This window comes from Homo sapiens, chromosome 1 (assembly GCF_000001405.40).
Source record: "Homo sapiens chromosome 1, GRCh38.p14 Primary Assembly".
NCBI classification, from domain to species: Eukaryota; Metazoa; Chordata; class Mammalia; order Primates; family Hominidae; genus Homo; species Homo sapiens.
Genome location: NC_000001.11, coordinates 64,509,280 through 64,534,968, shown reverse-complemented (window position 1 = coordinate 64,534,968; position 25,689 = coordinate 64,509,280). Strand labels below are relative to the sequence as shown.

The 25,689-nt window shown below is 39.1% G+C and overlaps 1 protein-coding gene across 5 annotated transcripts in view, besides 2 other annotated features; it reads right to left on the bottom strand.

Moving 5' to 3' along the window:
* Window positions 1-25,689, bottom strand: part of CACHD1 (cache domain containing 1) — a 222,925-nt gene that overhangs the window by 158,085 nt on the left and 39,151 nt on the right. The window lies entirely within an intron of this gene.
* Window positions 16,536-17,349: an enhancer, noted in NCBI's record as "OCT4-NANOG-H3K4me1 hESC enhancer chr1:64983303-64984116 (GRCh37/hg19 assembly coordinates)". NCBI's record gives its function as "activates a minimal SCP1, AML or CMV promoter by ChIP-STARR-seq in naive H9 embryonic stem cells {active_cell/tissue: H9 hESC(naive)}" and the evidence as "EXISTENCE:reporter gene assay evidence [ECO:0000049][PMID:30033119]".
* Window positions 17,350-18,165: an enhancer, noted in NCBI's record as "NANOG-H3K4me1 hESC enhancer chr1:64982487-64983302 (GRCh37/hg19 assembly coordinates)". NCBI's record gives its function as "activates a minimal SCP1, AML or CMV promoter by ChIP-STARR-seq in naive and primed H9 embryonic stem cells {active_cell/tissue: H9 hESC(naive and primed)}" and the evidence as "EXISTENCE:reporter gene assay evidence [ECO:0000049][PMID:30033119]".

The following is a 25,689-nucleotide window of genomic DNA, read 5'->3' as shown; positions in this document are numbered from 1 at the left end:
ATGCATGACAAAGCAACTTCCACCAAAGTCTCACATCCAATATGCAGCAGAGTGAAACTGCAATCCCACAACTCTAGGCTTCCCAAGGGCAAGGCCAGGGGGCTGGAATCTGGGATCTAGATCTCTTGGTCCTTCCAGGAGCTGAAGAAGGTGATCAGCTTCCATTGTCCTAGCTTCAGCCTTCCTTAGGTGAATGTCCTAGAAATGCTCACTTGCCAGTCATGGCCCAACTCTGTTTCCTGTTACTGAGCACAGGCTATGGGCCAGCCCCAAGCTAGGCTCTGGAAGATGCAGCACTAAGACAGTCCTGCCCTTGAATTGCTCAGAGTGCAAGGGAGAAGAGGCAAGTGCAAGCAGATACTGCAGGATACGTAGTGGCAAGTGTGAGGAAGGGACATTCCATCCAAATATTATGCAAAGTCATCAAGAGCCTCAGGCTCAGCATTCAACAGGGAATATTATTAAGGCCTGATGTGCAGAGTTGGGGATATAACAGGAAGGCTTTTTGTTTGTTTACCTGCCCTTCATATTTATCAAGAGCCCCAAATCTATACTTTTGATCTTCTCTCCTAATGAGATTTTACACACAGTCAGAGATAAAATAACACAACAGAAAGAAAAAGATGGCCGGGCGCGGTGGCTCACACCTGTAATCCCAGCACTTTGGGAGGCCGAGGTGGGTGGATCACCTGAGGTCAGGAGTTCAAGACCAGCCTGGCCAACATGGTGAAACTCTGTTTCTACTAAAAGTACAAAAATTAGCTGGGCATGATGGTGCACACCTGTAATCCCAGCTACTCCAGAGGCTGAGGCAGAAGAATTTCTGCAACCCAGGAGGCAGGGGTTGCAGTGAGCCAAGAACATGCCACTACACTCCAGCCTGGGTAACAGAGTGAGACTCTGTCTCAAAAAAAAAAAAAAAAATGCTGGGCTCACGACTGTAATCTCAGCACTTTTGGAGGCCAAGGCAGGTGGATAACGAGGTCAGGAGGTTGAGACCATCCTGGCTAACACTGTGAAACCCCATCTCTAGTAAAAATACAAAAAAATTAGCCGGATGTGGTGGCTGGTGCCTGTAGTCCCAGCTACTCAGGAGGCTGAGGCAGAAGAATGGCGTGAACCCAGGAGGCGGAGCTTGCAGTGAGCCGAGATCATGCCACTGCACTCCAGCCTGGACAACAGAGCAAGATTCCGTCTTCACAAAAAAAAAAAAAAAAAAAGAGAGAGAAGAAAAAGATATCTATTATTCAATTTTGAGCTTGCATTCCACTAATAGAACACATCATGTATAGTATTCTCTGAATTAATGCTTTAAAAACAAATGCTGAAATTAGTTCATAAATGGCACAATTGTACTGCATGTTTACATTGAGTTAATTTGGTAAACAGATACGTTTAAAACATTAGTGTTGGTAACTCTGTTTGGCATTTCTTCACTTATTAATATACCAACAGGTTCAAAAACTAGAGGTGGGCTGGGCCACTCTCAGCCTCTGAAAAGCCCAGCTGCTATAAATACATATGGATGAATCCTAGTTACCCAAGTATTTGCAATATTCCCCATCTATAGCCACAACAGCTCGGTGTCTGAAGGGCCTCTCTCTCTTGTTTTTGAGACAGGGTCTCACTCTGTCACCCAGGCTGGAGTGTGATGGCACAATCTCATCTCACTGCAAACTCTGCTGCCTGGGTTCAAGTGATTCTTGTATCTCAGCCTCCCATGTAGCTGGGGCTATAGGCCTGCACCACCACGCCCGGCTAATTTCTGTATTTTTAGTAGAGACGGGGTTTCACCATGTTGACCAGGTTGGTCTCAAACCCTTGGCCTCAAGCAATTCACCCGCCTCGGACTCCCAAAATGCTGGGATTACAGGTATGAGCCACCATGCCTGGCCCTGCAAGGCCCCTCTTTGGGGCTCTGTTGGGAACTCCAGCCTCACATATTCAAGTAATTGTCCTAATCCTACAGAATTCACTCATTCATGTCCTGCCTCTCGTTATAAAAAATACCAATAAACAGTAACAAATCCTCCTGAGCTGTTACCTTCTACCACTACTGCTGCTGCTGCTACTACTACTAGTACCACTACTTTACTCCTCCTCCTCCTCGTTACAAGCTTTCAAGTAAGAACAACAAGCCCTATTTTATAGATGATGAGTCAGACATAGACAGTAGATTTGAACTCAGATATGTCTGACTCCAAGACTCTAAGTCTCTTGCCACTTCCAGGCCCAAAACTCTCCAATGGCTTACCAATGAATTCACAGTAAAACCCCAAGTCCTATCTTGGTTCCAAAGTCTTTACCTATCATGCACACCCTTTGAGCTTCTCCCCAGTCCTTGGCCCTTCTTTTCTTTCCCCACCCCTCAACATACCGGCCTCCAGTTTGCCACTCAAACTTGATGAGTGTTCTCCAGCTGCAGGGCCTTGGTACTCCCCATTCCACTTTCTGAAACACATCTCCTTGGGATGGGCTTGCTCCCAGCCTACCTCCAGGCCTCTGCTCAAATGCCATTTTATGCAAAATAGCAACTCCAGTAGCTCATCACATCCATCACACCTGATGCTCTACTCGTGTCTGCAGTCTCCACAATACGTATGCTGCATGAGCACGAGGGCTTTTTGTTGTTGTTGTTGTTCCCAGTGTCCTCAGTGCCTAGAACCAGCCTATAGTAGGCATTCAATTAATTAATTCACAAGAAGGGCCCAAGTTGTACATCTGCTATGAGTCAGCCATACCCCACTGGAAATTCAAAACACAGAGAACCACTCGAAGAGTCTCTCTCTGCTACTTAGAATGTAATTTGCCTCTAATTTCCCTGATAAGTTTTATCATTAAGACTCCCTTAATTTTCACCTCCTTGGAAAGTATTCTGATCTTTATGCATTGGGGGCCTCACGCTATTCTAACACTTTACAAAAGGCATTGCAATCATTTGTTTACATATCTAGTCCTCCCCACCCTTATCCCTATCCTGTGAGTTTCTAGAACACAGGGACTCATTCTTTCTCATCTTTCAATTCACAGTATATAGTGGCTTGCCATATTTTAATATACGGTGTAGTGATACCTTCTAATACGTCCTACAGAAGCTTCCAGTATTCAGGTAACGGAATGAGTCTGGCATTAAACTGTAACATGGAAGATTTTCCCACCACAAAGAGCAGTATCACCAACCAAACCCGTCAGTGTATAAACACACACAGCCTGTGCTGGTATAGCAAACGCTTCTCCATGTTTGAGCAACAAAGAGACACCAGGGGGTAATGTGCAAGTTAATAAGCTGAGAATCAGTCTAAACACATCTGTAGGTAGATATTGGTTCTTTCAGAGTTTATGGTCTTGTTGACCTTGTTTACTTTCCCAGAATAAGTTCTTCAAGACAGTCTTTTTTGTCATTGTTCTGGTTCTCCTTCTCCTCCCACCCCTACACAGACACACACACACACACACACACACACACACACACAACCACATTCATTCTAAATCATTAACTAATGAAAAGCAAAGGTACAGAAAGCAGAGTTATTCATCCTCAGATTAAACTCTTGACTTAAATTAGATGTTTGCTGGGATTTCTCCCTTCTCAATCTCTTCAAGCCTAATTAATAATCAAGAAACCTGGAAGAATCCACAAACACTATGCAAATACAGGCAGGTGAAATCAGTTTGCTCATTGTCAGCACTGGAGAGGAGGACTGCATCCAAACACAATGAATTGGACTCCCTGAAACTGTCCAACTTACAGACTCTAGAGTGTTTCCTTTAAAGGGTTTTGGGCAGGCAGGAAATAAGAATGCTTTTCATTCTATCCACAATACATTAATTTCAAGTTTAAGGAATGAAGCCAGCAGAGAAGCATTCCATGTAATGAACAGACTTGTGCTGTATTATAGAACTGGCTGAATCTGATATACAGTTCATTGCCAATAAGGTTTTCCTTGGATTTTTAAAAACAAATTCCTAGAGAGATTGAGGCTTAGGAAATAAGTACTTGTGAGAATTCATTCTTCCTTCTAAAAAAAAAAAAAACAAAAAAAAACACGATGGAATGTTGATACACATCTGAGCTCATTCTTTTTCTTTTTTTTTTTTTAGACAGAGTCTTGCTCTGTTGCCCAGGCTGGAGTGCAGTGGTGCCATCTCGGCTCACTGCAACCTCCACCTCCTGGGTTCAAGTGATTCTCCTGCCTCAGCCTCCCAAGTAGCTGGGATTACAGGTGTGCACCACCATGTCTGGCTAATTTTTGTATTTTTAGTAGAGACGGGGTTTCACCATGTTGGCCAGGCTGGTCTTGAACTCCTGACCTCAGGTGATCCGCCCACCTCGGCCTCCCAAAGTGCTGGGATTACAGGCGTGAGCCACCGCACCTGGCGCTCATTCCTTTTAAGTAACCATTCCAGGGAAGAGTCAGCTCGTTAATAATGGCCAAAAAACAAAAGAAAAAAAAAACTCTTCACCATGACCAGGTAAATAAGGCTAAAGGTATGTTTCCCTTTATATCTGTACTGCTTTTGAACTTGATCCTCCAACTTTTTTTTCCAGATGTGTACACAAAGATTTCTAAGATCTTGTCAACGACCTTAGTTTCCATCTCAACTATTATTTCTTAAAGCTATGTTTTCACTGACTATTTAAGAAGTTGCTATTCTTAAGTCTCTAGGGAGAAGATGGGAATAAGGCGATAGAACCAACCTCTATTGTTGAGGTTGGGATTTGCAAAAGTTAAATGGCCCCGGGTAATGCTAAACTGTTCAAGCATCAGGAATCAGCACTGAAGCAGGTGCCCAGTGTTCTTCCAATTAAACTATAGGGCAAAACGCTAAACATAATTTTCAGTTTCAAAGGAAGGGTTCTGTGTTATTAAATCCTGACCATGAAGGATGCCTTCCTCTTTTATTGCCAGGCACTGTGCTACTTCAGTAAACACTAAATGATCTTCACTATAGAATCATCAGTGTTAGCTATGAAGGCATCTTTTGTTTTGTTCTAGCCAGTAAATCTTTACCAATCGTAAACAACTAGAAGGACGAAAAAGTAGATTTGGCCAAAATCATAGAAGACCTAGAGGCAAGACTTAAGATTTGGAAATTATAAAAACCCTCTAAAGTAACATTATAGAGCAGGGGAATGAATTGATCTGATCTGGGCCTGTAGAATAGTTCTTGGCAGCAAGACCTATGCAAAAATGAAAACATAACATAGGGTCAAATATGGATACAAGGACCAAAGGCAGTTGTGGATTCAAATCCCAGCTCTGCTGAATACTAGCTGAGTGGCCAAGGGCACATTACCTAAGCCCTAAGTTCCTTCCCTTCCACTTCATAGGACTGTTGTGTTAATAAGATAATTCATTTATCACTGTAACACAGTAGCCAGCATATGGTAAGTGTTCAATAAGTAATAACTTTTATTGTTGCTAATGTAATAAACCAAAAAAGAGAACTGGAAGACTAGAAGAAGATGATGATTCTAGTAGCAAAAGAAGGAAAATGGATACAAGGGGCATTTTTGAGCTCTCCGTTGTAGATTGGTTGCGAAGTATTGAGAATAAATGGAGTATTGAGAATAAACATGCCAAAGAGGTTTGAAAGCTGGTTAATTACAGGACCAGCAATGATAGGTTCCATTTTGAGTGTGTTAGTTTTTACCTAGTCAAAATGAAAGACGCAAGAAAGAGAAATAAGCAATATTTTTCTATGGTTACTGCAAAGGTAGAAAAAATTAAAAGCATAGTTACTGAAAGTTATCCCATCTTTTTTCAAACAGGGTACAGACATCAAGCCACTTCTCTTAGAAAAGGAGTTTCAAGAAAAACTAATGGAATTTAATTAAAAACATTTTTTGAAACATGTAATTTACACTCTTTCATAAAAACAAACACCAGACTATAGATTCATGAATTCAAATCCCATTTCTCCAAATTATAACAGATACTTAAAACAGTTTGCAACTAGAACAGAATATAACCCAATGAAAGGTAGGAAGTATAATAATATAGGTATAAATTTTTAAAATGTCAGATGTCAGCACTGTAAAACAAATTCAAGAGTCTTGCATTTAATTCCAATGCCATTAAATTGGGGGACTACCATCAGGTATTAGGATATTTTTTAAATGGAAAAAAAAATGTGATTACAAATATCAACATCAACCAGGTTATTCTTAAATAATAATACACTAATTCTTCTTTTCAGAGATCCCACAAAAAAAAATGTTTATAATACTCTAAATCTCATGAGTATATAAAAGTAACCCACTACTTTTAGCAAAGCAACAAACCTAGGAAAATTTCTTTCAAACAAAAGCACTTTATCTGGTCATTTGATTTTACTCTTAACATTAAATAAAAAATAAAGAGGGTAGAGTGATTAACCTCCAAAGACAAAACTAATAATTTATTCAAAGTAAATCTCTGCTGTGATATTATTCAGAAGGATTTTATTTATATTAATTTTGTTATTTAGGATGGCCCATGCTGATCAAATATATAATGTCATCTTCATTAAAAATAATTAAGATTCCCTAGGCAGACACTCACACTTGAAATGGGGTTGTGGGGATCTCAATTTTTTATGCCACTGCAAGGTTTTCTAAAACTCATTCATATTTAATTTTTAAGGATGCTTTGCAGCACATTAAATATTTAACAGTCAGAGGGTTTTCAAACCAGAATGCTAAATGTCAACCTATTCCTCCAAAATACTTCTTATTTCATTTGCAGTAAATTAGCTGGACCTCCTTTCAGAAACAGTAAAGAAAAAGGTCTTCAAACTTAACTCATATGAGGATGTTGAGATAATAATATCCATCTCCATAATTAGACCATGCAAGAGATTTGATTCTAAATACCAGGCTTATTAAGAATGGTAAAATTCTCAAGTAGTGCTGCTCACATTATAAATGGAGATAATCTTTCAGAAACTCATCCCCCCACTCCTTTCCAGAATTTATTCTGCATTGTGCAACATACATTAACATGAAGAATGGATGTGAGAAGTCAACATTAGCAGCAGCAGAAACAGTGAGATTCCACAAGCACTGGGCCAGTTAGCAACACAAAATGACAACTGAGAAACATACTCACTGTTGGACCCTAATTTACAAGAGGCCTTAGAAAACACATTTTGATTTTTGTACAAAGCAAGTACTCTAAGATCACAGTACTGGCAATCAGATCAACATCAGTACTTGCTGACCCCTACTACAAAAAATAAAATATAATCTTTTTATAGATTTGTATATTAAGTGCAATATTATCCATGTTAGTAATATCTGCTTTACTTTTAAACAGAGAGAAAGGAAATTGGTTTTAAACTATAATCGTTAGGAAAACAGATGAAGTTATAAACAAAAGGAAGAATATAAAATTTTCAGGAATTTGTGAGACACCAGCCTGCCTCAGGTCAAAATTCACTTCCTCCAGACCCTAAAAACGCAGCAAATGCCATCACACAAAATGATTTCACAACAGGACCGCGTGAGAGCGTGTCCACACTGTTACCGCACAAAATACATATCACAAGACTCCCCGAAGAAACGCCTACTGTCTCACCTAAGGTTGGGAGGATGAAATACAGATGTGCTGTGAGAGCTCACATCAAAGAGAATGTGGTGGCTTCACAATGTTTCAGGACTGAAATGTAAACAGCACTCTTTAGAAATGCCAGCAAGAAGTCACATGGGCCGCACTGAATGATCTGGGGTGTCCTTGATGGATCCCAGCTTCAAGGCAATCAGCACCCCATTTCTTGAAAGCAAGGGGATCTGCAACTGTCCCTGTGCCGCTCCGTGGTCCTGCACTTGCACTCATCCATTTTACGCCATAGTAAGAATCAAGTTATTTTTCTGGACAATTTTACCAGATGCCCTTAAAAAGCAATGCTGTCTTTAACTCCCTATATTCTCTCTCTACTCAAGAGAAGAAATCAGGTAGGATCTACTGACTCCGAACTGCTCGCTACAGATCAAACGTATACTAAGCGTCTGGAACCATTACACCAAGGAAATCTTTCATGACCCTCTGGCTAGATGGCTCACATGGTTTTCCTTTCCCTAGAGGAATAAATGGTTTTGCGAAAGAATCGCAGTAATAAATTGAGGCCTATACTCTACCACTCAGTGACAAAAACCAAACCAGAGGTGGGTGGAGAAGAGGAAAGAAGGAAAGGAAGATGGAAGAAATGACCCCAGCAAGAGCTGAGACTCTCATACGGCAGGGCGCCAGACGCCTAGAAGGAAAAGTACAGGTTTCTGACTTACAGGGAAAAAAATAAATAAATCTGCAGAGTTTTCTGCGTTAGCAGGAATGGGAAATTGCTTCATTTCATCAATTTTGAAATTTTAACTTAATTGCTTCTTTCCCTGACATGCTCTCCTCACCCCCCTCCTCAAGTCTTTTTAAACCTGAGAGTCTAAAAGAAACCCTGTTATGGAGCAATCAGCCCTCTCAGGACTTTTCACAGATTCCAAAACAAGTCATAGCAGGCTGGAACCTTTTCTTCCGGGAATAACGTTGTTATTCTTATTACCCATTTTTGTTTGTCTCTTTCTCAAATGGCTTTAAAAAAAAAGGCACTTGCAGTCCTAATGGCCCCACAGATTTGGGTAGACATGAATCATTTTTTAGACAGTTTTCACTGTTAAAAGATGAATGAAAAAGAAAGGGCCACAGAGAAGAGAAACCATCCATAACTTAGAATCTTGCTTGCACCTTAACTGTGGCTCAGGAATCCATATCTCATAGAAAACCTTTAAAAAAGACAGCTTACACAGTCATATTTGATAGGTGGACACCATTGCAATTACACCTACTTTACCAACCAACACACGGGCTCTGAGGGGCTGTGGCTTGTCCAAAAGGGGTTGAGCTCAAACTCACCATCATCTGACCCTAAATCCCAGGAAGCTGACACGGTTCACAAATCAAATAAAGCAATGCTGGCATAGATTTTTATTTGGCCCTAATAGTAGCACTTAATATGGATTCAATTCTTTCCAGGTCCTGGATCATCTGTCCATTTAAAAGCAATAATAATTTTTAAAGTAAGCACACACCCAGAACAAAAACAGAAAAATTGTTGCTTACATTCCTAAGAATTTCATAACCACATGAAAATTGTGTAGGCAGTGTGTTCTTCCTCACCTACAGTTTTCTGGGAGAGCAATAAAGTTAGCAATCCTTCATAGGCAGGCTGAAGAATGCAATGTTGCCATTACCTAAAGAAAATGTTGCCCTTACCTGAAGTGTCTATAGAGAAATCTAACCAGTTAAGGCCATTGCACCTGTGGAATCAATTAGGTGGAGATGACCTTTATATTTACGAAAATACTGAAATGCCACCCAGTCCCCTTAATGTCTGACCTACATCTAAAACTGAACATGAGAAATAATTCTAAAGATGTAAGTACTGCAGGTTACTGTATTTGATCATCAGTAATACAGTGTGGGAGGAAAGAAGCCAGGATAAGAAGTGGGCTGCCTTGAGAACCAGCATGTCAAAACTGGATAAGATTTTTCAGAGCATCTAATATGAACTGCTCATCTTACCGGGGAGGAAAAGAATGTCTGATAGGTTATTTTTCAAATCGGGTAAATATCAAGTTGACATTTTTTGAGTATGTATTAATCATTGAGAAATTCTTTTGCAACTTCTGTCATTTTAAACCCTTGGAGGATCACATTTTTATTTCCTGTCTCTGATCTTGAGTACTAATTTCTCAATGTCATTCTTGGCAAGATACCTAATACCAAACTTTTCTTGTCCAGATTTCTAGGAGCTTCAGAAGAATTATAATATAAAGCAGAATACAAACAATATTATAATATTTTAATATGCTAATAAATATTAGAAGCAAAGAGAAATGAGTGGGAAAATATTCACAGAGATGGTCCACTGGTGGTATTATGGAAGTACTGGATATGGAGGTACAAAGAAATAGTTAAGGCTCTTCAAACACACCAAGTTCAAAGCTCGGCTCTCTACTCACTAGCAATGCAACCTTGGGCTAGTGACTTGGCCACTCTTACTCAGTTTCCTCATCTGAAAATGGAAATGAGTCTCTCATACATGGGAGTGCTATATTAAGGGAGGAAAAAAAGCAATATTCGGAAAGCAGTAAGGAAAGGGCCAGAAATATAGTGAGCACACTAAAGCTATCATCATCTTCATCATCATCATCATGTGTCTTTGCTTCCAGAGTTATTTTTGTAACTTAAAAACATTTCAAGGATACATTTGCTTTTTCTAATTCTGCCACTCAATTATTCTTGCAATCAAAAAGTCATCTCTGGAACCATCCTTTTCTAGAACTTCTCTTTGGATTTTGGTAATGAAATACTTTTGTCATTACCCTCGCAAATTCAGTGAGGTAGATAGGCAAATATAGTGTACCTGAAAGTATTTTTATACAGTTAAGTGCTACATATTACATTATTCCTATATCCCTGGTTAGGAAAACTGAGGCACAGAACAGGCCACTAATGTGGGTAATGTCACACAGTCAAGAGTTAAAAACCCAGTAAGTGGTGCTATTTGATCCTGAACTGTGTTTCACAAAAGCAGACATGGAGCCAACACACTACAATGGGCTCACTTCTGGAAAAAGATGAAAAATTGTCCTATATACAAATTATTCATACAGTAATCAATATTCATTCACATACTTGCTTGTCATTATTTAAAATATTAAAATAATCCAGAGGTACTCAAAGCTGCTCCTCCTTTTATCTAAAGCAGCACAAATAGTTTCATTGAAAGCACATAAAAACAAAAACAAAAGAGTCAGCAAAACCTTTACAAGCCTATTCAGAGCCTGGCACCATTTACATCACAAAGTTTAACCATTACGGGAAGTTGGAATGCTCACGTTTCATTACTAGTAGAACCAAGAATAAAGCATAGAATAATTTCCAGATGGTGTCTCTTTTTTTTTTGTACAGATTTTTCAATTTAACATTGTTCTGAAAGCTTTAGTCACCTGAATACAGAGCTATAACAATTCTATGCAAGAATCTTGTTCTTGGATAAATAAAGACTCATCTACTCCATTTACTGAGGTCCATAGCCATTAGAAAAAGGAAGCAAGAAAGAATAAAGCATGTGAAAGTCTCTTCTACAAACAGCACAATCATTGGAAAAGAATATCGTTCGACCCCAAGTGAGCAGATTCTCCACAGACTATTTCTGACTTTTTCTAGTTATCAGCTTTATACATTTTATATGTCAACTTACATTTTAAAAAGTACAAAGATTTACAGAATCACAGGCTTAAAAAGCTTCAGAAAAAGACTCACATAACCCTGCAACCAAGGGCATGGCTGATTAACATCAATAACACATGAAGGAAAAACGGCACTGTGAGCCACAGGTTTATTCTGTCAGGGCTCTAGCAAGCCTCAGATGGATCCAGCCTCCTAAAAGTGTTTGTTCCAGGAACTGTTTGTTCACAGGTCTGTCAAAATGCTCCTCCAGACCTAGATAGCACAAGCATCCAAACTCAGAAAGACTCACTTTTATGTAAAGCAAAGCCAGCTCCAAATGGAGATGCCACTCAAATGCCTCAATGCTATATTAAAAACAACCCCCTAGAAAACTTATTTTTTAACTATGGAAAACCTATAAAAGAAGACAAAACAGTATAATAAACCCCCACATACCCATTACCTAGTTTCAGTAATTTCCAACTCATAGTCAATCTTGTTCATCTATATGCTCACTTTCCCCAACCTAGATTATTTCTGAATAAAATGAAAGATACCATATTGTGTCATCTACAATTAGTCTGCATAAAACTCTGAAAGATAAGGACTCTTTGTAAAATAAAAGTAACAATACCATTGTCACACTAATAGCAATTCCAGAATTTCACCAAATACCCAGTCAGGTTCAAATTCTGCTCTACTGGGGAAGATGGAGGCAGCAGTAAACAGAAGGGAAGGCCATCATGGCTACTTATGCTTTTGTTTTAAAACTGTGCCAGCACTTATGACACAGTATGGTCTACTTCCCTGGACTCAAATCATTCCAAACATTACTGAGGATCTTTTCTTTCTCTTGCAGCCAAGATGCAATGTTCTTTCACCTGGAAGGGATACCACACCAGAATAAAATACAGGAAGCCATTTTTCTCACTGGGATTTTCATCATTAGGATTTTCCTAAATTCATGATTAGGAGGAAACTATTAAATGAATCCAAATCTACTAAATTTTGCCTATGCCTCAAGGACTTTTTTTTTAAGTTTCTTTTGAAAAAATTTCAGACTTACAAGTTGCAAAAATAATAAAGTGAGTTTCCCTGTATCCTTCAACCACCTTCCCCCATTGATAACATCTTACATAACAGAACTTTAGGAACTTGCTCCGACCAGGGCTCATGCCTGTAATCCCAACACTTTGGGAGGCTGAAGCGGGCAGGCGGATCACTTGAGGTCAGGAGTTGAAGCCTGGCTAACATGGTAAAATCCCATCTCTACTAAAAATACAAAATTTAGCCGGTCGTGGTTGCATGTGCCTGTAATCCCAGCTACTCGGGAGGCTGAGGCAGGAGAATTGCTTGAACCCAGGAGGCAGAGGTTGCAGTGAGCCGAGATCATGCCACTGCACTCTAGTCTGGGAGACACAGCGAGCTTCATCTCAAAAAAACAAAAAAAAAATGTGGGGGTTGAGAGGAAAAGAAAAGAACTTGTTTCAACCCATACATCTATGGCCATCTATGGTCTTGAAGGGTGCCAAAACCATTCAGTGGGGAAAGAAGAGTCTTCTCAAAAGATAGTGCTGGGACAATTGGATATCCACATGTAAAAGAATAAAGTTGGACCCTTACAACATATGTAAAAATTAACTCAAAATGGATCAAATATCTCAATGTAAGAACTAAATCTATAAAAGTTTTAGAAGAAATCACAGGGACAATCTTCATGGCCTTGGATTTGGCCAATGATTCTTAAACATGGCACAAATAACATGAGAAACAAAGGAAAAATAAACTTTGTCGAAATTAAAAACTTTTGTGCATCAAAGGATGCCATCAAGAAATTAAAAAGATGACCCATAGAATGGGAGAAAATATTTGCAAATCATATATCTGATGAGACTTGTATCTAGACTATATAAAGCATCTTTACAACTCAATAAAAAGATAATTTAAAAATAGGCAAAGAATCTGAATAGACATTTTTCCAGGGAAGATACACAAATGATTAAACTGTTACCATATGAACCAGCAATACCACTCAAAAACATATACCCAAGAGAAATGAAAATGTATATCTATATCAAAACTTCTACACAAACACTTACAGCAGCATTATTCATAATAGCCAAAAGGTGGAAACAATCCAATGTCCATTAGCTGAAGAATAAACAAAATACAGTATATCTATACAATAGAATAGTATTGTCATGAATAAGAATCAAGTAATGATATGTGTCACAGCCTGTAAAAAGCTTGAAGATATTAAACTAAGTGAAAGAAGTCAGTCACAAAAGACCACATATTATATATGTTACATGGCACAGCAACTTTCAGAAAGTTAATTCAGATAATTCAGAGATTATCCAATGGGCCTAAACTAATTACATGAACCTTTTAAAAGCAGAGTTTTCTTTGGCCAGGGCCAGAGGGGATCAAAGACATACTCTAGCTGGCCCACAAGCAAACACCACACATGTTGTGAGCCGTCTATGGTAGCCACAGGGCAAGACACAAAATAGCCTCCATGAGCTTAGTGCAACCCCCAGATGACAGCTAGGAGGGAAACTGAGACCTCTGCCCTACGACAGCAAGGACATGAATCTTATCTACAACCAGTGAGCCTGGAAGAAGACTCCAAGCCCACAAGGGAACTGAAGTACCAGCTGCCATCTTGATTTCAGTCCAGTGAGACCCTGAGCAGAGAACCTAGCCCAGAGTTCTACCCTAAAGAAACTGGGATAGAATAAATTTGTGGTGTTTTAAGCCACTGAGTTTGTGGTAAGTTGTTATGCAGCAATAGGACTAATAGGAAAGCCTTACCTGCAGAGATAAACCTACCTGTAGAGATAAACCTAGGTTTAGATAAAGATTCCCACTGCATGTCTCAGTTTTCTCATCTATGAAATGGAGCCAAGTCTCTATTTCACACAGTTGATTAGAGGGGGAGTAGAGACAATGTACAGAAAGGACTGCACACATGCTACGTGCTCAGTAAATGGTAACTAATATGTTTTCCCACCCAGTGACAAGACATGGTTCCGAGTATGTGGAAGTTAATCAGTGCTTTTTAAGCAAAAGAATCCTTACAAATCATTTCAAAGTCTACTCCTACAGCGTGACATTAGTAACAGTGGTTTCCACAGTGGGGTTCCAAAGGCAATGTTAGGATGCCTAATTAACTTAACAATAATTCAGTATAGGTAATGAGATATTGCATGTGAGTTAATTAGTTTAAACTACAACTCAAATGTGGTTGGCATTATATTCAGGAATGCACTCTAGGGGTAGGCAGGTCGTGTTCTAAGCATGAAGCCCATACTCCAGAAAGACACACTGCAAATATTTCCACCATCCATGTTCATTAACACCAGGCCCTTTGCCAATTAGCAAAGTGAATGTCAGAGGTGGATTTGTGTGGGTGTGTGAGACGAATGGCTTCTTTGCTAGCAATATAAATGTGAGAAATGGGCCATCCCTGGTAAACTTAAACATATATTCAAATTATGAGAATTGGCCAAAATATTCTAGAAATACCTCTACCCTTGTATGAATAAGAGTGTAGCCTTGATAGGCTTGTCCCCTAAGTGGACATGAGTCCGGCACAGTTGGAGGACTTCCAGTTGCTTGATGCTGACTATTAAAGATAACAGAACTCTCCTCTGGAATGTTGTAATGTCTACAAGTACAGCTTTCATGCAAAGTGGTGAGCAGAACAACTAAAAGAAGACAGCTGGGACTTTATCAAGCATAGAGAGTAATGTTGCAGAAATATTTTGTGCCTACTGGCTGATATACGGCTGTTAATCAACGTCTGTATGTGCAGCAGAATGTCTCAGACTTGCACTAGCTATAAGTAGGTGGCAAGGTTGTGGGATAGTAGCAAAACCTCTCACCTCAAATAATCTGGCAGCTATCAAAATTCACCAGAAAAAAGCACCTAGGAGTTGTGTATAACCGAACTGGCTTAGATCAGCTTACAACAGGTGGTAATGACCGAGAGCTGTTTGCAATATTTTATTTTTTAAAAGAAAAAAACTCAAAATGTGCTCGTCATAAGACTAACTAAAACATCAAGTTTTTTGGCTTGAGCCAGGAATTACACCAGCTTAGTAACTCTGGTTAACTCTGGTGAACTAGAACTGCTCAGAGGATCTGATTGATAGTTAATGGGCAGTCACTGGTAATGCTTTTCTTTTTATTTTTTTTGCTGGAAGGAAAAAAGTTAATTCAGACTTACCAGATAGTTTGGTAGGTATTTTTTACATTATTAGAATAAAATCAGTTCCCTATTACTAAGTCAGTCAATCTTTTCACTTTAGAGACAAGGAAACTGAGGCCTGGGACAGATCAATAATTTTTCTATGGTACTCCTTTCAGAAATCAGACCTCCTTATGGTATCTGTTGTGCCTCTCCCTTGCAGCAGTCCTGGGCTGTGCCTCAATCGAAAGGCTCCACTACCTCAACCTGCTGGGTCCAAGCCAGATCATTTAGCATCTGGAATTTTCCCACATTTCCATTGCTGGAGGCAAAAAGTTTATCAGTCAGGCCCAAGAAGCTATTACTGTCTCCCAGAGATTTTTGAGCAAATTCTTCCTTGAAGTCTTTGTTATCAAATGGGTAACAAGGGGTTAATGAGATTAAAAACAAAACCCAGGTCCTGCTAATGAGTAACCCCTCAATTGTAAAGCTTTCACTCAGTTAAATGGTACCTATCTCTAAAATTACCTCAAATAATTAACATAATGAGGAAGGGAAATTCAAGGTATTGTGAGGGACACAAAGATATTGATAGAACCACTAAGGTTGGAAGGCACAAGCTAAGGAGTCACTAAGCCCTTATCTATGGGGTTCTAGAACACAATAGGTTGTAAATAGCCTGACAGAAAGACAAAGGCTCCAACTCCCAGGGAATAAGGCAGCAGGAAAATACCCACACTAGGCATGCTGATGTTATCCAGAAAAGGCTAAACAAGGACTGTCCCATCCTCTTTCCCTTCTCAAGCAATAACTTCACCAGAAAAGTGATTCCCATCATTTGGAGTCACAAAACTAGCCATCTATATACCTTACTTTCTTCCTATCCCATGAGGCACAAAGAAACTCCAGCTTAGACATGGCACAATCACACAACTACTTTGACAGAGCTGGGCATGGACCTTGATCCTCTGACTCCACCAATCCATGTGATTCTGTGTTAAATTTTGCATCTTAGACCTGCTTCCATTTTCTCTACCATTCCCTGATATTGCCATATTCCTGTACATGCACTAAAAAAACAGATTTCCAATTAACTTGATTGAGAATAATAGGACATAAATGAGATAATGGAAGACCATCTTGAATGTTGAAAGCCAGGGCTTAAAATCTAGATGATGGGTTGATAGGTGCAGCAAACCACCATGGCACATGTATACCTATGTAATGAACCTGTACATTCTGCACATGTATCCCGGAACTTAAAGTGAAAAAAAAAAAAGTCATTGATTTTCACTGGAGAAGTAGCACAGAAATGTTTTCCATCCCCATGTGTGCTGAGAGTATGTCCGCTGCTATTATCTTAGAGGAAAGAAGTTAAGCACAGGTCATGAGCTGACAAATTACTACACTTAAGCTCTTCCCCCTGCTCCATAATGGATCCCTCTCACCGTAAGGAGATACAAACATTTAGAAAACACTAAACCAAACCAACACCTCCCAGGATCCTCTACAAAGGTTTCCTGGTTCAGTAAGGGAAGCCTGGAAGAGATCAAGTCATGTTCAAAGAGGATCACAAGCTGTGCTACCACAGGATTCTACTTTCTTTCCCTCTTAAGATCTAATCATTTCCTTTGTTTCCCAAGGAATACAACCATTACAGCCACAGGACTGCCAAGTTCAATCAATGACATAGAGTAGGCAGGGCAGCTACCCTGGGGTGGTGGAATATACTTTTCAAGTGTAAAAGGTTAAGCTAATAGGAGAAAGAAGAGTAATCGGGTAAAGGTGCTACACTGTCCAGGTCCCTCCTCCTGAGGAGAAGCTCATGGTGATAATGATCACAATTTTAATCTAAAGTCAATCACGTCATTCCTCAGCTCAAGATTCCCCACAGGTTCCCCTTACCCTTACAATGGCCTTTAAAGCCCTAGTGATGCTCTTACTGTCTTCCTGCCCCATCAGCCTCCTTGCTCTTCATCCCACTGGGCCAAGCTCTGCCCAGAGAATCCACATGGCATACTCCTTTGTCTCCCCTTGAGTTCTTGCTCAATTATCATTTTCTCAATGAGGCCTCCAGTGACTACTTTATTTCATTGCAACCCCACAGCTCCCTGCCAACTCTCCCCTGTCCCACACTCACTTAATTCTCCTTTATTTCTTTTTTATTGAATAGTACTAGCCATTCTCCAACATATGATATCATTTATTTCCCAGTATTCATGATGTCTATTGTCTAGCTCTCCCCAATGGAATGCAATTGGAATGTAACCTCCATGCAGAAATGGATTTTTGTCTGTTTTGATCACTGATGAATTAGTAGAACTAAAAGCACATAGTATACACTGAAAAAATATTTGCAGATCACTTCTTGGCCTTTTGGCTAGGATCAAATGTAATGAATAATATTTGTTGAATAAACGAGATGTCACTTATTCACTAACAATAACAGCAGCTAGCATTCAGTACCTACTATGTCTCACACATATAACAAGTGCTTTCCCCGCTTCATGTCATCACAAGCCCATGAAATAGGTACTAACAGCATCCCCAATTTACATGACAAAACTGAGGCTTAAATGACTTGCACAAGATCACATTGCTAGTAAGTGGAGAAGTCAGAATGAAAACCCAAGTCTGTCTGACTCCAGTTAATTGCAATGCTGAATTTCCCACTCCAGCTCTGCTAGACAAGTTTTGCAATTTTGTTTACTAGGAGGAACAGTTTAAAATACAAGAAAGAATTGCTCCAGCAAATTCAGAGACAAGTCTCCAGAAAAAAATTTCCCTAGAAATGTTTCTATATTATAGAATATGCTTTATGGTATAGTAGAAAGAACAATAATAAGAAGATAAAAACCTGGGTTCAGATTCAGACTCTTCCCCCTAACCAGCTCTGAGGTCAATGTGTGAGTAATAAGCTAAACCAAGAGATAATGATGCCTATCGTGCAAGACTGTTTTAAGGATTAAATGAGATAATATTCATGAAAATGCATAATCGAGTCTGGCTCATCATTTGGTCATTCCTTTTTTCCAACGTGACAGCCTCACTGACAGAATCTCATAAATGAGTAAACATTTACTAAGTACCTAGCGTGTGCCAGGCATTATGCCGGGTGTTTTGTTTATGAACACCGTAAGCTGGTCTGTTAGGCAGTACGACAGGTTCCAAGTCTAGAGATGAGGCAGATCAGCAAAACAGCTGTTCTAGAACCACATGAGAAATGCTACTGCAAGTTATGTACTGAACATCATAGGATGCAATGCTAACATTAAATGCTGAAATTGCTTGCTTTGGCTAAAATGAGAATGGAGAGATAGCGATAATTGATTGCAGAATCACCAGGAGAAAAAAGAAAATGTTAAACGGACAGGTATATTTAGAATTAGGACTGCATTGCTGAAGAAGAACCCATGTTACTTTGTCCTTAACTTAAAACTAATTTGAAAATGTTGCATGTTGGTCTAGTTTATGTGCTACTTATCAAGAAAAAGACTACTTGAATATACAAATATTTTTTTCAGATATTTGCAACCTATATATGAAAATCCTATTAACAATCTCTTCTACCACTTCCTTTCCAAACTATGAAACATGCCCTGAATTCCAAAAAATGAAAGTATCTGATAATCTCAAGTTTTATACATGCTTCAAGTTTAGGAAGTAGAGCTAGGCAAAAGAAGGAGTCAAGTCAATGCCCTTCCCAATTTTTAAAATTAATACCAAGAGTTGAAACCATGAATCCCAGCCACCTTTCTATAATCGTAGAAAGATTAGCATGTTAGTTTAATTTCTGCACACCACTTCAGACCACCTGCATCCCCAAATAGTGTCAGATAACAGGCCTTTCTTCATACATTAATTTTACATTACCCTCTCTCCCAGGCAGCTAGGGAGCTAACAAGCAGTCCCTGTGGCTCAATCTGAACAGAACTGGCATGCATTCAGGCAGCACAACTACAGCTGTTGCATAATAGCATTTCTCATGTGAGGAAGCCATATCAACACAAATACTAATAGTCAAAATGATTTAAGAAGGGAAAAAATGCTTTGAGATACTTTGAATTTGCAAGGATAGGAATTCATTTTCATTATTAATTGCATATGCTTATATTCTAAAGAACCTGAACAAATGTCACACCAATCATACTGGAAACATCTGAGTTGAGGAGGCTCTTAGGGTAATTTAAATTCAGTCTCTTGCACAAAGTAGTAGGGTTTGTATTATTTCTTGTCTGTTTTTGTCATAACCTGAACATAACTTCCATAGCTCCCCAATTGTGTTTTCCAAAGGACACTCCAAAGCAATTATTTTTTGTAAGTATCTGGTTCAATTAAAATTAGTAGAAATTGTTAAATAGTTAGTATTAATGGGGATTCGGGATTTGCTGGAAGGAAAATCTAAGAATTAATACCATTTGGATTAATCTAGATCCAAAATTTTCACTTTTCTATGCCATAAGCATATACATTTATTTCTCTGTATTTTCCTCCTAAATAATCCAATACTGTATGCAGTATGACCAAAATCACATGGATGGCAGCATACCAATGAAGAGATTTAGAGATTACACATAGTCAAGATGTCTCCATTATGACCAAGGGGGCAAATATGAGCTCCGGAACCTAGGAACCAGTCAACTTTGCTTCTTTCTCAGCATATTATAGAATAGGTTATTTAATTGTAATTACTAAAAACAAATTTGGATTCTGTAAGAACAAATCAGGCCAAATTATGCCACTTAATTTAATATACAGGTAGAAATTATAAGAATTAATACATATCTTATTTTCACCAAGGCATTTGACAAAGTACTGCATGTTCCATTCTTGAGAACAAGAAGGCACACTGAGTTAGACTGTCAGACTTGGAACTTTGACACCATCATAAAAAGCTAAACTACTGCTGGAGACTAAAAAGAATATAAATAGGAGTTATCACATAGCTTTGCTGCTGTGGTAAATACCAATGATCCTATGGTCAACTATGCATCTAGCTCAGCTGCCTACAACTGCATTCCTCCCCCACTGCCCAGTTCAGTTTTTCAAAACCTAGAAGTGAAACCTAGGAATTCCTTTGTTACAATGTTAAAGCTAGAAGACTTTTATATCGAGCTACAAAAAAGAAAACTCACAGTCAAGCTGGCAAGAGTCCTTTTTAACTAGATAGCCATATGGACACCTCTTGAAAAGAGCCATATGGTTAGACTTGTTATTTTTGGCCTCTTTAACTCCCTTCTTGTATATAGAGGCCTCCAGTTATTACCAACAAGTGATAAATCACTCTGAATTTCCAAGGCCACAAAAAGCATTCACTGGCAATCATTCCAGGTTTCACTTTTAGCTGAAGACCCTGGAGAATTCTTAACTGGGGGATGTTCACAGTTTCCAAAACGTTATTTTACTTAGAGCAACACTTCAGATCTAAACTTTATCTTGATAGCTAAGGTTCAAACAGAGAAAGTAAAACACGGATGGAAATGAATTGTATAAAGTATGAAGGAACATACCAATTTAACTTTTCCTCCAATTGTTTTTTAAGAGACAGGATGAGAGAAGTGTCCCTCCTAAAAAGATTATCTGGAACAGAAACCGCAAACTGGCAACCTAATTTAACCTGCATAGGTGTTTTGTTTGACTCACACATGTTGTTGTTTTAAATTGAGCTAATGTTTAAAATTCAGGAAATTTTACATCTTATAAAAATCTGGATTTCCAACATCTTTAGAAAAACTAGCAGATCTGGCATCCCCAGACTAACATTCCTGCTGCCAACAAGTGGCTTCCATTGAACAGCAACTGTTTCTTTTAGGTGGCTCCTACCATCTCCAGCTGTGTCACAGGCATTCAAGGCCTACTTTACTCATTTCCATTTTCTGACTGCCAGCCCATTAAAAAACTAGAAAGTAAGCACTCTTTCCTTTGAGTCCTTTTCATGGCTACCATTCCTGGCAAGATGCAACTCAAATGTCAAATGCCTTGTGTTTGAAATATCTCCTGAATCTTACAGATTTATCAAATTCTACCTGTATCACTTCCACCCACCATAGCTGCTGGGAAGCAAGGATGCCCTTATACATGATTACTTCCTCCTTTTCTCCATGGCATTCGCACAGTGCTTTACATAAAGCAGATATTTAATAAAATATCTAGTAGTTATCTTATAGCTCTATGGCTTACAGCAGCCTTTCAACATAAAACAGTGTTTCACCTTAGAACAGTATTTCTCAATTGGGGAAGATTTAGCCCCCCAGGGGACACTTGACATTTTTGATTGTCACAGCTTGGAGGAAGTTACTGCTGGTGTCTAATGGGTAGAGGCCAGAGAGGTTGTTAAACATCCTAAAATGCACAGGACAGCCCCCTCCCCTGCCATCGTCACATGTCATTTGTGTTAAGGTTGGGAAAACCTGACTTAGAATGACCCAGATGAACACAGAAATATTGCTGTAAATTTGCAGATGGATAATCTTGGGCTAGAAATTAATGTGGTTTACTCAAGGTAACCCAGCTTGCAACAGAATAAAGATTTGGACTCTGGTGGCAGGCTGTCAGAATGTGACAATAGAAATGGAGAATGGAAAAACAGAACAAGGATGGAAATTTGTGCCTCTGTTTGGCATGAACTTGTGTGAAAATATCCAGAGGTCAGAGATTAACATCCACTAATATAAAGTATATCTTACCTGATAATGAAAGAGTCCAGAAGTCACTTAAATGGTGGCAGAAAAAACTTAACCACATATCAAACTTACATGCATATACTGAAAAACCAAGTTCTACCCCGCCAAAAGATTTTTTGTATCAGCTATTCAAAACAACTACATGAAGTTACAACTAATCCATGTGCTGATGAGCAGAGAATACAAATGACTGAAATAACAGTTTCAAATGAAAATTCCTCTTTAGGAGAAAGAAAAGAGGAAGGTACAGCAACTTGAAGAGTGGAAATGTTGAATTTAGCCCGAAATTGGCAGGGGTGTGTGTGTCTGTCCCTAGCCACACCTGCAGACTGTTATTTTGTCTTAGTTACTCCAGTTGGCCTGCAGTAGCCTCTCTCCATTCAAAGTAAAGGAGGAACAGCAGGAAGTGTTAAAAGGGGAAGAGCAGAAGTTGAATCATTTGCCCTTGAACTCCAGAGGGCTTCTGCTTTTTTTTTTTTTTTTTTTTTTTTTTGAGACACAGTCTCACTGTGTCACCGAGGCTGGAGTGCAGTGGTGCAATCTCAGCTCACTGCAACCTCTGCCTCCTGGGTTCAAGCCATTCTTGTGACTCAGCCTCCCAAGTAGCTGGAATTACAGGTGTGCACCACCATGACCAGCTAATTTTTCTATTTTTTGTAGAGACAGGGTTTCACCATGTTGGCTAGGCTAGTATCAAACTCCTGACCTCAGGTGATCCACCCGCCTTGGCCTTCCAAAGTGCTGGGATTACGGGCTTGAGCCACCATGCCCAGCCCTGCTTGCTTTTTCTGTGACCATCAGGCAGGTGCCTCAGTTTCTAAGATCTAGAAAGTGTGAATAATAATTTCTACCTCATAGAGTTATGGAAAATAATAACAATCAGTAACTTTATATATAAAACCTTATTAAAAAGTCTTACTATACATGCCAGTGACTATGCCAAATGCTTTATCTCATCTGACTCTCAAATCAACACTGTGAGATGGCCACCATGTTCAGATGAGAAAAGGACACAGCTGATAAGCTGAGAAAGCCCATTTCAAGTTCAAAGGAAGGCAACTGTAGTTCAAAGGAAGGCAATTGTATTCTAGAGCTGGGGTTCATAACCACTTTGCTGTCTAGCTTTCCCAACTCAAAGTGCTAATTATTGCTTTGTAAACTTGGAGCCAAAGGAAATCCTGGGGTTCATAGGGAATAATTTCCTCGTGGCCAGAGCTAAATACAGATGGAACAGATTGTCTTCTGCAGTAAGACACTCCCCATCATTGTAGCGGGAAGCGGCTGGGTGACCACTTGGAGATGTTGGAGAGAGAGATGAGCTGGAGAGGGTGGTGAGCTCTACTTCTCTAAGGTCCATTCTAATCTTGCAATTTTATGATTCTTTGTCTGAACTCTAGATTTCTAATAACCTCTCTCTGGAACCTGATGGTTGTTTATTTTCCTAGGCAATTCCTACTCCTTTCTCTGGTCTTTCTTCCACTTCTTTATTTTCTCATGATCCTAGCATGCTATAATGGAAAGAACCAGGGATTTGAAATATAAAAGCCCTGGATGTGAATGTTCAATCACCCTTATAACAGTTAATTGATACTTGACAAGGTACTAAGACTTCCTCTCGTGAGGATTTCCTCATCTATAAAATAAGAGGAAGTAACATCAAATAAGGAAAAAAACAGATTAAAGTACAGTGCCTGCTCTACAGCAGAAGTACGATTAGTCTCCTTCATTTGCAAACCTACTACATACCGTACTCCATCTGCTTTAATGTCCTATACCTGTAGAGATCTTAGGTACACTAAAAATAAGCACAGTCCAAAATATCTATGATCTAAAAGGCGTTTTACCTGCCACATAGATATCAGCAAAAGGAAAATGGATTCTCCACTACAAGGACCAGAACCATTACCAAATCCAGTGGCCTTTGACACTCTAAATTCCAATGTACCCACAGCCATATTAATCCCATAGATATTCCCCTCATTACAACCTCCAGGAATAACAATTATACATGCATTGAACTTTCAAGGACCCACAGCACTCCAATATGCAACATCTTATTTAAATCATACCACAATCTTGCAAGAGATTTACAGGAGCACTTGGCATTGTCTGCATGTATCTGAATCTTTGTCCCAGTGACCCAATCTCTCTGGCAATTTCTGGTTTTGGCAATTTAAAAATTGTGCAAAACTGAATAATGACCACCAGAACAACAAAATAAAAGACAGAAATGAACTTAATCAGAAAAAAGAAAGAGTTATTAGAAAGACACTAGAAACACAACAAGAGGCAGAAACTTAGTGGTTAGGTAGTTGAGAACATTGCCCAGGAGATTAAGCTACCTAAACAACCTTGCTGAAAGGCGACTGTGAATACCTGGCTGTTCCGTCGTCACTGGACCCTCTTTTTTTCTCCATAACCTTAAAATTATTGACTGTCCCATTTCTATTGCTGCCTAATGCTCAAAGTCCCAGGTAACAGTCCTTAATGGCCTAGTGTATGTAACACACATACTGCCCCAGCTGCCACGGCAGGAGAGAGGATCACTTGCCTTCCCCTGTAGCTCCCATTGGCTCCTAGAGCTGAAAGGGTGCAAAGATGCAAGTCAGCTGAAACAGCAATAAATGTCCAAAACTTCACTGAATCTTCATCTTAATGCTGTTGGAGCAACTCTACTTTACCTCCGCATCCCTTTTTTGTGACAAGAGAAGATACTGATTTGCTCAGGTTCACGCAGCTGGTCACGTACCAGCACTGAGAATTCACCTGAGGCTCCTGGCTCTTGACTCCCATTAAAATTTTCCTTAAAAAGCAGTTTTAACTAGCACTCTAAGTCATCCTAAATGTAGGTTTTATATGAATGTTGTAATATCTCTTCACTATTCTATCATAAATGTGAAATGTATGTATGTGGGGCATGTTCTATCTGGGTTGCCAGTTTTTCAGCATTTAAAAAATATGTTTTTCTGAAAGGTATTATTTCTTCCAAATCCTAAACTGAAAAATCTTAACAGTAATCGTGCAAGACAAAATACATCTAGGAGTATTCGTTTGAGAATCATTGTCTCTGCTATGTCTTAAATAAATCTCTCCTATTGTTAATAAACTGAGAAGGGATGCAAATGTCACAATATTAAAATAGGTATCTAGATTAGGTTTTGAAAAAATATCATAAAATCTACTTCACAGTCTTAATTTTGCATTTATATATAATGTTGTAGTGTTTTCCTTCTATCCTTGGAGATTTAACAAAACTTCCCTACTTTAAAAAGCACCCTAGGGCTGATTTCATGGTCAAAGAAAAATAAAGACTTATAAAATTACTGAATAACTTGAGTGTTTTACCCTGAGATCCTTTTCCTTCCTACCATTTTTTTAAGCCAAGAAAGACAAATGAACTAAAGCTGTTCATCTTTAGTTGATTCAAATACACCTTTTTAATAACAAGTGGCTGAAGCCAAAGAAAGGATTAAAGATGGTGCTCTTTCATCAATTCCTTATTATGGCCTGGGATTTACTTTGCAATTAGTCCCTCCTGGGCAGAGCTGAGGCCCAGTGAACTTGTTATTAACAAGTCTGGAGATCTCTAAAAAATGAAAACTCCACA